At 43.2% G+C, this 16,678-nt stretch overlaps 1 protein-coding gene across 1 annotated transcript in view; it reads right to left on the bottom strand.

Annotated features, from left to right (window-relative positions):
* The window catches only part of PI4K2A (phosphatidylinositol 4-kinase type 2 alpha), a 35,764-nt gene that overhangs the window by 6,869 nt on the left and 12,217 nt on the right, over nt 1-16,678 (bottom strand). Inside the window, exons 3-8 of the mRNA NM_018425.4 lie at nt 13,150-13,281; nt 12,592-12,745; nt 6,598-6,659; nt 4,582-4,681; nt 2,995-3,128; nt 2,446-2,505 (exon numbers count right to left, since the gene is read on the bottom strand). Coding sequence (NP_060895.1) covers nt 2,446-2,505; nt 2,995-3,128; nt 4,582-4,681; nt 6,598-6,659; nt 12,592-12,745; nt 13,150-13,281 — 642 coding nt within the window. The remainder of the gene's footprint in view (nt 1-2,445; nt 2,506-2,994; nt 3,129-4,581; nt 4,682-6,597; nt 6,660-12,591; nt 12,746-13,149; nt 13,282-16,678) is intronic.

Raw genomic sequence — 16,678 nt, 5'->3', positions numbered from 1 at the left:
AAGGTAGTAGGCACTTTAGGTTACAAGATACCAAAAGCTCCTCTGAAGACATTAGGAGCACAAGATGGAGATAAATAAAACTGCACTACCCCAACCTCCCTACCATCCTGAATAATGGCACTATCTGAGTAATGGGAGAAGGGTTGGCAAGGGACTGAGCTGGGATGGAATTAGATAAGACATTGCAATACGGACAGAGGCACAGCCTATATCAACTGGAGAAGCCAGTTTACTCCTTTATGCTGAGTTCCATAACATCTGAGTCTATCACATGGCTTTTAATGCTTCCAAAAATTCTGCCAGCCTAATTGGGCCCTTACATTACTTGGGAAATGTAGGAATACCATGTTACTGGTATTCAGACAGCTACAATAATTGTAGTTCTTAAAACCTCTGTCCAGGCCGGGCTCAGTGGCTCACTCCTGTAATCCCAGCACTTTGGGAGGCCGAGGCAGGCAGATCACCTGAGATCAGGAGTTTGAGACCACCCTGGCCAACATGGTGAAACCCCATCTCTACTAAAAATACAAAAATTAGCCAGGTGTGGTGCCATGCACCTGTAATCCCAGCTACTTGGGAGGCTGAGGCAGGAGAATCACTTGAACCTGGGAGGTGAAGGTTGCAGTGAGCCAAGATCGCACCACTGCACTCCAGCCTGGGTGACAGAGTGAGACTCTGTCTCAAAAGAAAAAAAAAACCTCTGTCCAACCCCCTTCCAGGGAAAAATGGGCTCAGCAAACCCAGGAGGTGCTGTCATCAGAGGTCTTTAGATAAATGGCAGGAAGAAGTAAATGCAGAATTAAGGCTGAGAAGATCCTCTTGCCCTTTAAAGATGGGAGAAGCTGAATTTTCTGTATACAAAAATCATAATCCTAACAGCTATTAATACTACAAATTGAGTATTTTAGTATACCAGGTACTACTCTAACTGTTTCAAATCATTTATCTCATAATAATTCTGTAAGGTGGGTACCATTATTATTATCTTGAGACAGGTTCTCACTCTGTCCCCTAGACTGGAGTGCAGTGGTGCCATCTCAGCTCACTGCATCCTAGACCTCCCAGGCCCAAGCAATCCTTCCACCTCAGCCTCCTGAGTAGCTGGGATTACAGGCGTGCGCCACCACACATGGCTAATTTTTGTGTTTTTTGTAGAGATGGGGTTTCACCATGTTGCCCAGGCTGGTCTCCAACTCCTTAGCTCAAGTGATCTGCCCACCTAAGCCTCTCAAAGTGCTGGGATTACAAGTGTGAGCCACCATGCCTGGTCTCAGCTACTATTATTGATCCCACATTAAACATGAGGAAACTAAGGGAAGGAGAGATTAAGTAACTTGCCCAAAATCTCACAGGTAGTAAATGGCAGAGCCAGGCTTCAAAAACCCAGGCACTGTGACCACAGTTTGCACCCTTAACCACTAGGTCATCCCAACTCTCTTTAAGAAGACTTCAAAGTGATAGGCATAATACCAGTACCCTACAGAGTTTTCAAACCATTTTTCAAGCATTTCTTTACTATGCTTTGGAAGATCAACAATCCCCTTGGTTTCCTTAGCTCCCTTTGAAGGTGAAGTGGAAGGAGAAGGAATAATGTAAGTTGCACCTATAACAACAAAATTATAACCATAATCAATATGTGAGTGCTTCATGTGCCCAGTACTCTTTTTACTAAACGCTTGATAAGCATTATCTCATGAAATTCTCCAGCCAACTGTGCAACGTATTATTACTATCCTGTTTTATGAACAAGAAAACAGAGGCTTTTGCCCCAGGCCACAGAGCTTCCAAGTAGTGAAGCAGTCTGGCTCCAGGGCCCAGATCTTAACCACCAAAACATACAGCCTGCCTTGAGCAACTCTAGGACAGAGAGCATTAGTTTAATTACCAATGAATTACCTAGCAACTAGCATAGAGATGAGTGCACATTAAGTGCTTCAACAAGCACTGGATACCAGGGAAGAGGTGGGAGAATTGGGAGGGCCACTTTTCCTCTCCTAGGTGTTAAGGTACAGCCAAAAATAATGTACACAACGGACTTAAAAAAGCTGTAAAACACGGCCGGGCGCAGGGCCTCACGCCTGTAATCCCAGCACTCTGGGAGGCAGAGGCAGGTGCATCACTTGAGGTCAGGAGTTCGAGACCAGCCTGGTCAACATGGTAAAACCCTGTCTCTACTAAAAATGCAAAAATTAGCCGGGCGTTGTGACATGCGCCTGTAATCCTAGCTACTTGGGAGGCTGAGGCACAAGAATTGCTTGAACCTGGGAGGTGGAGGTTGCAGTGAGCAGAGATCATGCCACTGCACTTTAGCCTGGGTGACAGAGTGAGACTCGGTCTCAAAAAAAAAGGGGGGGGTATAAAACACAAACTTCAAACATTTGCTCAACCTGAGCACACAACACTCCCAGAGACGCCAAAGATACTGGGAGGATGTCCCAGGCTTACCTGGCCCCGCATGACAGCAATCTGCTTATGGAACTGGCCCCTGTCGAAACCAGGATCTTTCTGCAAAAGAAGACCAGAAGGAGATGGAACCTGTGTGAATGCCTCACAGGAACCCATTTTCTCCCCCAGTTAGAAACTTTCTAAGAAGGAAAACCTGCATAAGGCTTCTGCAGCTTTGTGAAGTCAACTACTCCCACAAGAACTCCCTGCTTTACAGATGAGGAAACAGAAAACAAGTCAATATCTTCCTCTGCATCTCAAACTCTAGGCTCCAGTGCTCCATATTAAAATGAAAGCCCTGCAGATACATTGCAGCCACATGATGGACAGGAGAGACACATCAGTGTGATTTCTCACCCCTGCCCATTTCTCTCAAACCCATCCAAACCAGGTCCTGCTGTCCACATGTGGAAATCTTGCTATTCGTTGGCTAACTCAAGTCAGAAAGGTGTTAGCCATTTCCTCTTGGCTTTTGTCAGGACCAATTAAAAAAACCATTAAAAATTCCTTCTCCCATATGATAATAGGGCTGAGGTTCCCAGGGCTAACCTTGAAGAGTTCATATAGGTCCTCTTCCAAGTCCTTGACGAAGTTAGGGTCCGATATCTTTGGAAGGATCAGATCTTTGATCTCCTGAGAAAATGGGACTTTCGCCTGGGGCAACCAGGCCCAGTAAAAAGGATCTGAAAAGAGGAAAAGTCAAAGGCAAAGCTGGTGTTGGAAAAGTCCCTGCTCATCTGTGTCCTCCACCAGTCAAGGCACTTTCTAAAGGAGAACCCCTCTTCCCTGACATACAACAGAAACAAAAACTTACAAGTGCTCTTAACTGTAAAGGTTACACAGCTAGTCAGTAGAGGAACCAGGGTTCAAACCCAGGGCTGCCTAATGTCAGAGCTCATTCTCAGACATTACATGACCTTCCAAGATGCAAGGTCTAGAAGCAACTACTTGCCACTGAGACGCTGAGATGGTCCTTCTGAAAAGGAAGACTAATGCTGCAAAAGGGGCTACTGACTCCCTACATTTATTTCTCCTCCTTTCCAGAAGCTTCTCAGTTACAACAGGGTAGGAGATGGAACAAGGAAGACAGAACACTGATAGGAAGCTTATATTTAGAGGCACAATTAGAATAAATTATGGAAAGACAGTCCTCAGATAACAGGAAAAAAAAAGATATTTCAGGAAATATACACTAAAACAATAAAATAACAAATTAAAAAATTAAAAAAGGGCCGGGCGCAGTGGCTCATGCCTGTAATCCCAGCACTTTGGGAGGCCAAGGCGGGTGGATCACAAGGTCAGGAGATTGAGATCATCTTGGCTAACACACTGAAACCCTGTCTCTACTAAAAATACAAAAATTAGCTGGGCATGGTGGCGGGTGCCTGTAGTCCCAGCTACTCGGGAGGCTGAGGCAGGAGAATGGTGTGAACCCAGGAGGAGGAGGTTGCAGTGAGCCGAGATCGCGCCACTGCACTCCAGCCTGGGCGACAGGGCAAGACTCCGTCTCAAAAAAAAAATAAATAAATAAAAAATAAATAGCCCTCAGCCAGGCGCAGTGGCTCACACCTGTAATCCCAGCATTTTGGGAGGCTGAGGCAGGCAGATCACCTGAAGTCAGGAGTTCAAGAACAGCCTGGCCAACATGGTGAAACCCCGTCTCTACTAAAAATACAAAATTAGCCGGGCGTGGTGGCGCATGCCTGTAATCCCAGCTACTTGGGAGGTTGAGGCAGGAGAATCGCTTGAACCCAGGAGGTGGAGGTTGCAGTGGGCCCAGATCGCACCATTGCACTCTAGCCTGGGCAACAAGAGCGAAACTCCATTTCCAAAAAAAAAAAGTCCTCAGAAAGAACGAGAAGAATGCAAAGAGACAATGAGAAAACTCATCTTTATGCTTCTAATTTCTAATCACCTTTATGCTTGTAATGGGAATCATAGAAGACAAAAATTAGAAAAACAGCTTACATTATGAAATAGTTGCCATATGCCAGCCATTGTGTTAAAGTGCCTGAACTCCATTATTTCATTAATTTTTAGAATAATCCTATGATAGAGACATTATCATCTCCACTGCACAGTGAGAAAATATACTGAGCAAGGGAAGAGCCAGACCACCATTGTCTGGAGACTTACATGCCCTCCAGGAGTCAGGATGCTTCAGTGGGAAGGCCAGCCCATTGTCTATGGCAGCCACCTTGATAACAGGCTCCTTCACCACCACCCAGTCTGTGTCCTGAAGAGCAAGGAAAGACTAATGACTGAGGAAACCCATCTCCCTCAGGCCCTTCCAATTAGTAGCAAAGCAACTCATCCCAACTCCCTCAAGAGAAGAATTCTTATTGAACTTATCTTGAGCTACTCTCTGAACTGGCTTCCATGTTGTTATCTGAACTTAGCACATTTTGGTGCCTCTGACCTGGCTCTTGTTCAAAGTTCAAGAGTCCTGTTCTTATCTTAGAAAAGGTACACTTCCCCAAGAGTTGCTACAGTCCTTGGTAAGAAGGAAATGACAATAATAAAGATAACTATAAGCCATTCCTCCTAGGGAAAGAAAATGAGAATCCTGAAAGCAGAACAGAAGAAATAAAATCCATATCAGTTGGCCAAGGTCCTTTTGTGTGGACCTTGACTCAGATGTTACTTCACTGGTGACAACTACATTTTCCAGTGAGAAAACAGAGCCTCGGAAGATAACAGCTGGCTGCTCTTGCACAAGGGAGTCTGTTCTCCTGCTTCAGTGGTGCATGAAAAGGAAAAGGACAAGAGATGAATGTAAAAAGAGTGGGCATGTCACCTGTGACAGCCCATGTCAGAGACAATCACTGACTATGTGGCTCCATGCTTCAGGTTCATGGGTGCCATCACAGGAACAAGAACTGTGGTTCCAGGATGCCTGAATCTGAATCCCCTGAGATACCTTATTAAATGTGCAGAATCCTGAGTTTTACTCCAGACCTGATGAATCAGTTTCTAAGGGAAAGGCCTGAAGAATCTGTGTACTATTTTAAATAACTCTTCAGAAGATTCAGGCACAAAATTTGAGAGCCACTATTAGAGAAAGTAAAAAAGTTATAAGGAATGAAAACCCCACCCTGGGCAACATAGCAAGACCTCATCTCTACAAAACATTAAACAACTTTTGCGCCTGTAGTCCCAGCTACTCAGGAGGCTGAGGTGAGAGGACTGCTTTGAGCCCAGGAGTCCAAGGCTGCTGTGAGCTAGGATAGCACCACTGTACTCCAGCCTGCGCAACAGAGCAAGACCCTGTCTCTTTTTTTTTTTTTTTTTTTTAATTTTTGAGACAGAGTCTTGCTCTGTCGTCTGGGCTGGAATGCAATGGTGTGATCTTGGCTCACTGCAACCTCAGCCTCCCAGGTTCAAGCCATTCTCGAGTCTCAGCCTCCCGAGTAGCTAGGAATACAAGCTCCCGCCATCATGCCCGGCTAATTTTTGCATTTTAATAGAGACGGGGTTTCACCATGTCGGCCAGGCTGGAACTCCTGACCTCAGGTGATCCTCCCACCTCGGCCTCCCAAAGTGCTGGGATTACAGGCGTGAGTCACCATGCCCGGCCAACCCTGTTTCTTAAAAAAAAAAAAAAGAAAGAAAAGAAAAAAGAAATAAAACCAATCTCACTCTCCCCTAGGCAGCCTTCTGCTAATTTTGTAAAACATGTAGACTGAACAGTGATAGAGAAGTATGGTGGAGGATGAAAGGAATGAGAAAGGAAAGAAAGTTGCAGGAGCAGCTTTTTCTAAACTTATGTTCTGTGGACTTGCGGTCTGTTGTGAGAAAAGTGGTTCATGGTTTAAAAGGGGTAGAAATCAAATTTAAATAGGTTTGTTTAACGTAGTACTTCTCAGACCTTTACTATGCTACTGTGCAATAAGAAGCTCAAAGAACAGAGTACATAATATGTTCCAAATTTACTTGACCCTTTCTTCATGCTATTCCTATTAACATGTGTCAGTAGGATGTCCTTGAAACACATATTGAGAAAAACTTTACCAAATATTAACCTATTAATTTTAAACATATGCGCCCCCCGATTCTTCTGAACTTGTATGAACTACATCTCTGACCATTTTATGTGTTTCTATATTATGCAAATACTCTTCATTCTCTTTAAGATTTATCTCAGTCTCTTACCCGAGAGCTAGAACTATCCATTGGACAGTCATATTTAATCAGCCAGTTGTCATTGCCTCGATCTGTGAACAGAAATATAAAGTTAGCAGAAAAAGGGGGGATGATTTTCCATTTTTGTAATGGTGGACTAGGTATTCTGGACACTCGGACTAACGCTTCTACTGAGAATGACTACAAATGCTGGATAAAATATTTTTAGATCTTTTTTAAGGTACTGGAGATTTTAATAAGACCACAAAGGATTTAAGAGTGAAGATATGGGAGAGAAAGGAAATCCATGGGAGGACGTGGAGCCCAGCACTGTGGCTTCTTTTCCCCTAGAGCACCTGCCAATTTGGAAAGAGCTGGCTAAGAGCTTGAGAGGTAGAACAATTATAAGAGCCTTGTGGAGCTAGAGAGACAAAAACTATAATCCAGTGACTGATCAGGGGTAAGGGACCCTCGTATATCATCTATGCTTTGGGTTACGACCTGAAGCACTACACCTTGGAAATACACTAAGCTCCCCTCAACACCTGAAATTAAAGTGATACTGGATTGCTATTGCCCTAGATGCTTGCCAAAAGAAATCTTCCTCCAGACAGGATTTACAATGACATCTTAGGCCTTTATACAGCTCTACGATTTCTGATAGGCAGTATTTGACAATGAAAAACAACCAGGTACACAAAGAAACAAGATGACAGGAATAAAAGAGAAACAACTGAAAATTAAAACAGATCTGTAGGGGCTCCAAACAATAAAAATATACAGACTTTAAAATGTTCACAACAAAATCCTTAATATGTTTAAAAAGATAAAAGTCAAGATTAAGAATATCAGCAGAGGCTGTACCTGAAATCCCAGCATTTTGGGAGGCTGAGGAGGCAGAGAATCACTTGAGGCCAGGAGTTCAAGACCAGCCTGGGCAAAATAGCGAGACCCCATGTCTAAACAAATTGTAAATAAGATTAGCCAGGTGTGGTGGTACGTGCCTATAGTCCCAACTACTTGGGAGGCTGAGGCAGGACAGCTTGAGCCAAGTGTTGGAGGCTGCTGCAATGAGCTATGATCATACCACTGTACTCTAGCATGGGCAACAGAGTGAGACCCTGCCTCAAAAAAAAAAAAAAAAAAATCAAACCTGAATTTGATCAAGCCTTTAAACTCAAGCAGTAAATTTACAGGAAACACAGAGAATTGGGGATGCCAAATCCACAATGTGGAACTTCTATAGGGCAAATATCCAGTTTCTTCAACAAATAAAAGGCAAGGGAAAAAAAAAGATGTGAAACTTTCCCTAAATTGAAGACATTTAAGAAACATATTAACCTGGCCAGTCACAGTGGCTCATGCCTGTAATCTCAGCATTTTGGGAGGCTGAGGTGGGAGGACTGCTTGAGCCCAGGAGTTTAAGACCAGCCTGGGCAACATAGTGAGATCCCATCTCCAAAAAAAAAACAGAAAGGAAAGATATTAACCAAATGTAATATGTGGACCTTTATATCATAATTTCAACAAGCCAATTATAAAAATCTTTTTTTATGAAACAACTGGGGTAATCCAAACACTGATGGGACATTAAATACTGATTATACTGAAAAAAAAAAAAAAGTCTTTATCTCTTCAAGAACATATGGAGGTATCTATGGATGCTATAAAATGATGTCTCAGATTTGCTTTAAAATAATCCAGCAGTGGCCGGGCGCGGTGGCTCACTCCTGTAATCCCAGCACTTTGGGAGGCCGAGGTGGGCGGATCACGAGGTCAGGAGATCGAGACCATCCTGGCTAACACGGTGAAACCCCGTCTCTACTAAAAATACAAAAAATTAGCCGGGTGTGGTGGCGGGCGCCTGTAGTCCCAGCTACTCGGGAGGCTGAGGCAGGAGAATGGTGTGAACCCGGGAGGCGGAGCTTGCAGTGAACCGAGATTGGGCCACTGCACTCCAGCCTGGGCAACAGAGTGAGACTCCGTCTCCAAAAAATATAAAATAAAAATAAATTTTAAAAAATCCAGCAGTTCCAGTCAAAGCCTTAGTTGAAAAAAAAAAAAATCCAGCAGGGATGGGGGTAGCAGGAAGTGAGACCTTACATAATAACTGTTGAAGGTGGTAACAAGTACATGGGGTTTATTATACCAGTCTCTCTACTTTTGTGTATTTTGAAATTTTCCTACTAACCAGCTAAAAAACTATTTTAAGTAAACTATGGGTCAGAGAAGAAATGAACAATGGAAATTAGAAAATACAGTCTCCATCTATAAACTGAGAGGATAAAAAAAATTTCAGTATATTTTATAATGATTATGGTAAAAAAAAAAAACACTTGTAAGATACAACTAAACTATGCTTAAGATGAAATTAAAGTCTGAAGTGCATATATTAGAAAAGAAGAGCCCGGGCTCGATGGCTCACACCTGTAATCCCAGCACTTTGGGAGGCCAAGGCAGGCAGATCACGAGGTCAGGAGTTCAAGACCAGCCTGACCAATATGGTGAAACCCTGTCTCTACTAAAAATACAAAAATTAGCCGGGTGTGGTGGCATGCACCTGTAGTCCCAGCTACTCGGGAGGCTGAGGCAGGAGAATCACTTGAACCTGGGAAGTGGAGGTTGCAGTGAGCCAAGATCATGCCACTGCAATCCAGCCTGGGCGACAGAGTGAGACTCCGTCTCAAAAAAAAAAAAAGGCCGGGCGCGGTGGCTCACGCCTGTAATCCCAGCACTTTGGGAGGCCAAGGCGGGCAGATCACGAGGTCAGGAGATCGAGACCATCCTGGCTAACACGGTGAAACCCCATCTCTACTAAAAATACAAAAAATTAGCCGGGCGTGGTAGCAGGCGCCTGTAGTCCCAGCTACTCGGGAGGCTGAGGCAGGAGAATGGCGTGAACCCGGGAGGCGGAGGTTGCAGTGAGCCGAGATCGCGCCACTGCACTCCAGCCTGGGTGACAGAGCGAGACTCCGTCTCAAAAAAAAAAAAAAAAAGAAAAGAAAGAAAAAGAAAAGAAAAGGAAGGGAAAGGAGAAAAGGTAAAAATCAATACTCTAAGAGAGAGGATTCTGGGAAGATGGTGGAGTAGGAAACAACAGAAATCTGTCTCCCCACGTGGACAACAATTGTAGTGGCAAAAATCTGTCTGATGTAATTATTTTGGAGCTCTGGAGTCTATGGAGGGCCTGCAACTTGCAGGGGAAAGCCTGGACAGTAAATTGTGGTTAATTTCATTCAATTTTGGCTCTTAGCCCCACAAGCAGCTACCCATCCCCCACCCTTCAGCCACATGGCAGCCAGATGTGCACAAGTTCCAGGAGCAGCTTGCAAATAGCTTGAGGGTGCCAAGGTGGGCAAAAAGGACCCTAACATCATAATGGTGAAAGATTGCAAGGTTTTCCTCTAAAATCAAGAACAGTGAAAAGATGCCTGCTTTTACTTCTATTCAACATAGTACTGGAAGTCTTAGAGCACTGAAGCAAGAAAAAAGAAATAAAAAGCACCCAAATTGGAAAAAAAAAAAGAGGGAAAATTATGTCTGTTCATAGATATGATTGTGTAGGTGCATAACCCTAAAATTTCCACACAAAAAAATAACTACTAGAACTAATAATTCAGGAAAGTAGCAGCATACAAAGTCAATCCACAAAAAAATCAGTTGCAAGCCAGGCGCAGTTGTTCACACCTGTAATCCCAGCACTTTGAGAGGCTGAGGTAGGAGGACTGCTTGAGCCCAGGAATTCGAGACCAGTCTGGGCAACGCAGTGAGACCTCATCTCTACAAAGAATTTAAAAACTAGCCAGGCGTGGTCCTCACACCTGTAGTCCCAGCTACTCGGGTGGCAGAGGTAGGAAGATCACTTGAGCCCAGGAGTCCGAGGCTGTAGTGAGCTATGATTGTGCTACTGCACTTCAGCCTGGACAATAGAGCATAACTCTGTCTCTTTAAAAAATAAAACTAAAGGCAAGAGATTGAGAGAAAATATTTGCAAATTATATATCTGATACGGGATTAATAGCCAGATATACAGAGAACTTTAAACAAATGTATAGAGAACTCAACAATAATGACCAAAAAAAATTCAAAAATAGGCAAAGGACTTAAATAGACAGCTCCAAAGAAGATATATGATTGGCCAATCAGCACATAAGAAGATGCTTACCATCACTAATCATTAAGGAAATGCAAATCAAAACTATAAGATAACATCTTACACCCATTAGGATGGTTACTATCAAAACAACAGAAAACATTCAGCAGAATGCAGATTAAATATGAAAAGGAAAAAACAGAAAACAGTAAGTGCTGGTGAGAAATTGGAAGGAACCCTCGTGTGCTGTTGGTGGGAATGTAAAATGGCACAGCTGCTGTGGAAAACAGTATGGTGGTTCCTCAAAAAATTAAAAATAGAATTACCATATATGATCCAATAATTCCACTTCTGGATATATACTCAAAAAAACTGAAAGCAGGGTCTTGAAGAGATATTTGTACACCCATGTTCATAGTAGCATTGTTCGTAATAGCTAAAATGCAGAAGCAACCCAAGTGTTCACTGAAAGATAAATGGATAGACAAAATGTGGTATATACATAAAATGGATCAGTATTTATCCTTAAAAAGGAAGGAAATTCTGATATATACTACATCATAGATGTACCTTGAGAACGTTATGCTAAGTGAATAAGCGAATCACCAAAAGACAAATACTGTACTATTCCACTTACATGAGGTACTTAGAGTAGTCAAAATCATAGAAACAGAAAACAGAATGATTGTTGCCAGGGACGTAGGGAGGGGGAATGAAGAGTTACTGTTTAATGAGTATAGAGCTTCAGTTTTACAAGATGAAAAGAGTTCTGGAGGCCAGGCATGGTGGCTCACACCTGTAATCCCAGCACTTTGGGACACTGAGATGGGTGGATCACCTGAGGTCAGTTCAAGACCAGCCTGGCCAACATGGTGAAACCCCATCTCTATAAAAACACAAAAATTAGCCATGCATGATGGCGGGTGTCTGTAATCCCAGCTACTCAGAAGGCTGAGGTGAGAAAATCACTTGAACCCAGGAGGCAGGGGTTGCAGTGAGCTGAGATCGCACCATTGCACTCCAGCCTAGGTGACAGAGCAAGACTCGGTCTCAACAACAACAAAAAGAGCTCTGGAGATGGATGGTGGTGACAGTTGCACAACAATATGAATGTATTTCATACTACTTTAAAATGGTTAAGATAATAAATTTTATGTTACATGCATTTTACTATGATTAAAATATCGGACAAAATATAGCTCCAATAAGGTGACTTTAGAGACTTTTTTTTTTTTTTGGAAACAGAGTCTTGCTCTGTCACCCAGGTTAGAGTGCAGTGGTGCAATTCTGACTCACTGCAACCTCCGCCTCCCAGGTTCAAGCGATTCTCCCACCTCAGCCTCCTGAATAGCTGGGACTACAGGTGCCCGCCACCACACCCGGCTAATTTTTGTATTTTTAGTAGAGACAGGGTTTCACCATGTTGTCCAGGCTGGTCTGGAACTCCCGGCCTCAAATGATCTGTCCACCTTGGCCTCCCAAAGTGCTGGGAGTACACGCATGAGCCACCACATCCAGCCTGAATTTAAAGACTTTTGTCCTCAATACATGTACATTTTACCAGGTTAGTTGAATTTAAATTGCACTGAAAAAAAATTTTTTTTAAATATCAATGATCTAAACATCTACCTCAAGAAGTCAGAGGAAGACAAAACTGTCCTGTTACAGGTCTTGAGGCTACAAGAATGACTAGGGATCAAGGATAAGAGTACTCTTCACAGTGCTTTGGAAGAGTTAAGTGTCTTCTGTCTGGAACCAGGAAAGAGTGTAAGATAAAATGCAAATACTAACTCCAGGCCTCACCACTTCTGAAAACTACACATGATGTGTCTGGACAAGGTACTCTGACTCCCAAGCCCTGCAAGCCTCCAGGCCTCCCCATGCCTCAACACAGTCTGGCACAGGGCATGGGACCACCTGCAGCTGCTCACCAGTGTTGCGGATGATGTAATCCAGCACCACCAACCGCTCAAACTGGAGCAGTAGTTGCCGGTTAGTGTTCTCAGGAAGAGGTTCTGCTTCAAAACGCCGCAGCCAATAGTCTGCATCTTTGTAGCCTTCAACAAAGAGCTGGAATGAACCAACCTGGAACCAAGAGGAAGGAACAAAGGTTTTTCCCTACTGCCCAAATCCAAAGACCTTTGGAGTATATGCCAGATACCCATTAAGGCCCTATGGAGTTTGTATCAGAGAAGGAAAACTTTTCAAGATCTTTACTTCCTCATTTCTTGCAAGTACAGGAGAAAAGAGATGTAACAGTGATCATCCATCCAAATTAAAGAACCTATCCAAATGAACCAGAGGAGTAAAGTGAAAAGTTAGGTCTCAACTTTTCAAACCTTAGCCACTTGACAGAAATAAGGAAGACAGGATCCTCAGGGCAGGTTATTCACGTGCCCATATTTGAGTTGTAGGCACCTTGCTTCACCACTTGGATGACTATGTCACTATAAATCATGACCCTTGATAAGCCAGAGGTGCGTCTATACCTTTGGTGGTAGCCCGATGCGGTTAAACCGCTGTCCAACTTTTGGCACTTTCTCTAGTGCAAGCCGCTTGCCCCTGGACTTCACTCGGTCAATGGCACTATAGTTGAAGGTCTCACTGGCCAGGTATACTACCTACAGTGAAAGAGAAGAGATACTAAGGTTAGAGTCAAGTTTAAGGAACCAGAAGACTATGGCAGAGAATAAATAGCTTGATGTTCACAAATCCTATTCCTCTTCCAGGGCACAGAAAGAATACATTTCTCAGCCTTCCCAGCAACTAGGAGAGGGAAGATAACTAGTTTGGGCCAATGAAATAATGACAAAATTATGTATGTACAACACTTCCACTGCTGGCAACTAAAATCTCCCACAATCCTTAATTCACATTCTCCAGTCTGTGCAGCTAGGAAAGAAGGGCTGGGAAATAGCAGAGCCACACCATGGAAGAACCTCGGATACCTTGTAACTACATGAGTGATGTGGTATCTAGGAGAGCTGCCTATCTGGCATGAGTCTGAGATGTAATCAAGAAATACACTCCTGGCCAGGCGTGGTGGCTCACACCTGTAAACCCAGCACTCTGAGAGGCCGAGGTGGGCAGATCACTTGAGGTCAGGAGTTCGAGACCAGCCTGGCCAACATGGTTAAACCCCGTCTCTACTAAAAATACAAAAATTAGCCAGGCATGGTGGTGCACGTCTGTAATCCTAGATACTTCGGAGGCTGAGGTGGGAGGATGGCTTGAACCTTGGAGGCAGAGGTTGCAGTGAGCCAAGATCGCACCACTGCACATTCTATCCTGGGTGACAGAGGGAGACTCTGTCCCAAAAAAAATATGATAAAAAAGAAATACAATCCAATTGTATTAAACCACTTAGATTTAAGGGTTGTTACAGCAGCTAGTATGAAGTACAAGGATTAACACTGTCATCTCCTGGGTTAGATTAGGCCAAATGCCCATCTTCTTTCCAGAGACAAACAAGTTGCAATTTACTCTGTACCCCTTCATTTCCTTTTGAAAAAAAATTTTTTTTTTTTTTTTTTTTTGAGACAGAGTCTCACTCTGTTGCCCAGGCTGGAGTGCAGTGGCACAGTCTCGGCTCACTGCAACCTCCAAGTCCCGCATTCAAGCAATTCTCATGCCTCAGCCTCCCAAGTAGCTGGGATTACAGGTGTGTGCCACCACTCCTGGCTAATTTTTGTATTTTTAGTAGAGAGAGGGTTTCACCATGTTGGCCAGGCTGGTCTTGATCTCCTGACCTCAGGTGATCCTCCTACCTCGGCCTCCCAAAGTGCTGGGATTACAGGCATGAGCCACTGTGCCCGGGCCCTTTTGAATTTTTTTACTTTGTGAAATTATTCGTATTCAAAACACAAACATTAAAATTGGTTTTCATTTTAATTAACTGCTATTTTTATGTATAGGCTATACACTGTAATCCTGGCTGCCTCTGAGGAAGGAAACTGAATGGCCAGGAGATAGGGGTAGCAGGGAGTCTGAATTACTTTTCTCTGTTTACCCTATGTGCCTTCTGATTTTTATACTAGATGCATGCATTACTTATTCTAAAAAAAATTTTTATGAGCCATCAATATTATACTTAAGTCAAATTGCAGTGACGTAATTGTAATCCACATATGCATCTATTGTCACACTTATCACATTGTCTTGTAATTATCCATTTGTATATCTAACTCCTCCTTTAAAATGAATGAGATTTGAGGAAGCGGAGAACATCTTATTTATATTAGCATCCACAGCACCTAACACAGTAGCTGGCATATGCTCATTAAATATTTATTAAGTGAATGAAGAATGAGTTACAAGCTTCTTTCAGAGACAGCAACAAGTGAGTTTTAGCATATAAATACCTAAAATCAAACTTATAAGAAAGGTATTTTCCTAAGCCTTGTAAAATTTATTACAAATAACTATTTTTTTTCCCATGAACCTGAGAGGCAAAATAACTGCCTCTCATCTATCGCTCCATGCTACCATCTAGTATTAATAGACTACCTAAAATGGATGTGCATGGTACTGTAGTAGGCACTCCCTGCCTTACAAATCAGAAAACTCAGGCATAGGAATGAAGGAAAAAGAGCTTTCCTAAGGCTACCTTGCCAGTGTCCACAGTGAAACTCCTGGCTCTCTCAAGCCATAAATCCCCTTTTGCCCCCATCATATTTATTTTCTATCATTCTTCCTAACAAACCACTTTTTCCCCATGACTAATGAAACTATCATAACCTGAAACCTCATAGGAGCAGAGAGCAGAGACAGCCAGTGAGTGAGAATTAGAGCCTTACCATTTGAAGTTCCAATGCAATGTGAACCTTGTTTCTATAATGACAGATGCTCTGATCAACTGGATAGAGTCCTGTCACAAGAGTTGGGGAGACAGGGAGAGGAGTCCTCTTACTATTCTCCAGCAGCTATATGTTAAGCTTCCAAAGTTCTGTCTCATCTCAGTCTCATGGAAGACAAGTATTTTTTTTTTTTGAGACGGAGTCTCGCTCTGTTGCCCAGGATAGAGTGTGGTGGCACAATCTCAGCTCACTGCAACCTCTGCCTTCCAGGTTCAAGCGATTCTCCTGCCTCAGCCTCCCAAGTAGCTGGGATTACAGGCACGCACCACCATGCTCAGCTAAGTTTTGTATTTTTAGTAGAGACAGGGTTTCACCCTGTTGGCCAGGCTGGTCTCGAACTCCTGACCTGAGGTGATCCACCCACTTAGGCCTCCCAAAGTGCTGGGATTACAGGCGTGAGCCAATGAGCCCAGCCAAGACAAGTATTTTTGTTGTTGCTGACTTTCTGATGCAAAAGATCCTCAGGCCTCGTGAAGGTTCTCTAACAGGGAAAGAGGAAGACCAAAGATAGGGACGAAAGGGATTGTGGGGGTGACACTAACGATTAGAATAGCTGATAAAAATATCACAGGCTAACATATGGAGGGTTTACGTTGTGCCTGGCACTCACTCAGCTATGTGCTTCATATAGGCTGTCTTGTGTAATATTGATGGCCACTCTACAAAGTAGGAACTATTTATATCCCTATTTTTACAGTAAGGAAACTGAGCCTAGGGAGGTTACATGACTTGCCCAAGTGTTACACAAATCAAAAACTGCAGAGCAAGAATTCAAACTCAAGTCCTCTGATTCTTGGGCACCACACTCCAGAAGCACCAACAGAGCAGGTAGGCATAGAGCCAGACACGGTCTGCTATTTGCCTAGTAAAGGAAGAAAACTATAGAGTGATAAGCAAGGAGAATGTAAAAGTTTCTAGAGTCTAAGAGGAGCCTAGTAGAAGCATTTCAGGTTAGGAGACTTAAGAACATTAATTATCATACAAGATGTTCAAAGCATGCTGTAAAACTATCTGCACAGAGAGGGAAAAGTAAGGCATAAAGAGAAGGAATGAGCTGTACAAAGCCAGGCAGTGAATTAGATGTGAAATGGGAACTAGAAGCCTGGTCAAACATTTTCTCGCTAGACCTAAAGTTGGAAGAACTTTGGTATTGTTTCTCATG

This window comes from Homo sapiens, chromosome 10 (genome assembly GCF_000001405.40).
Source record: "Homo sapiens chromosome 10, GRCh38.p14 Primary Assembly".
Classification (NCBI taxonomy): domain Eukaryota; kingdom Metazoa; phylum Chordata; class Mammalia; order Primates; family Hominidae; genus Homo; species Homo sapiens.
This window is presented reverse-complemented; position numbering and strand designations above follow the sequence as displayed.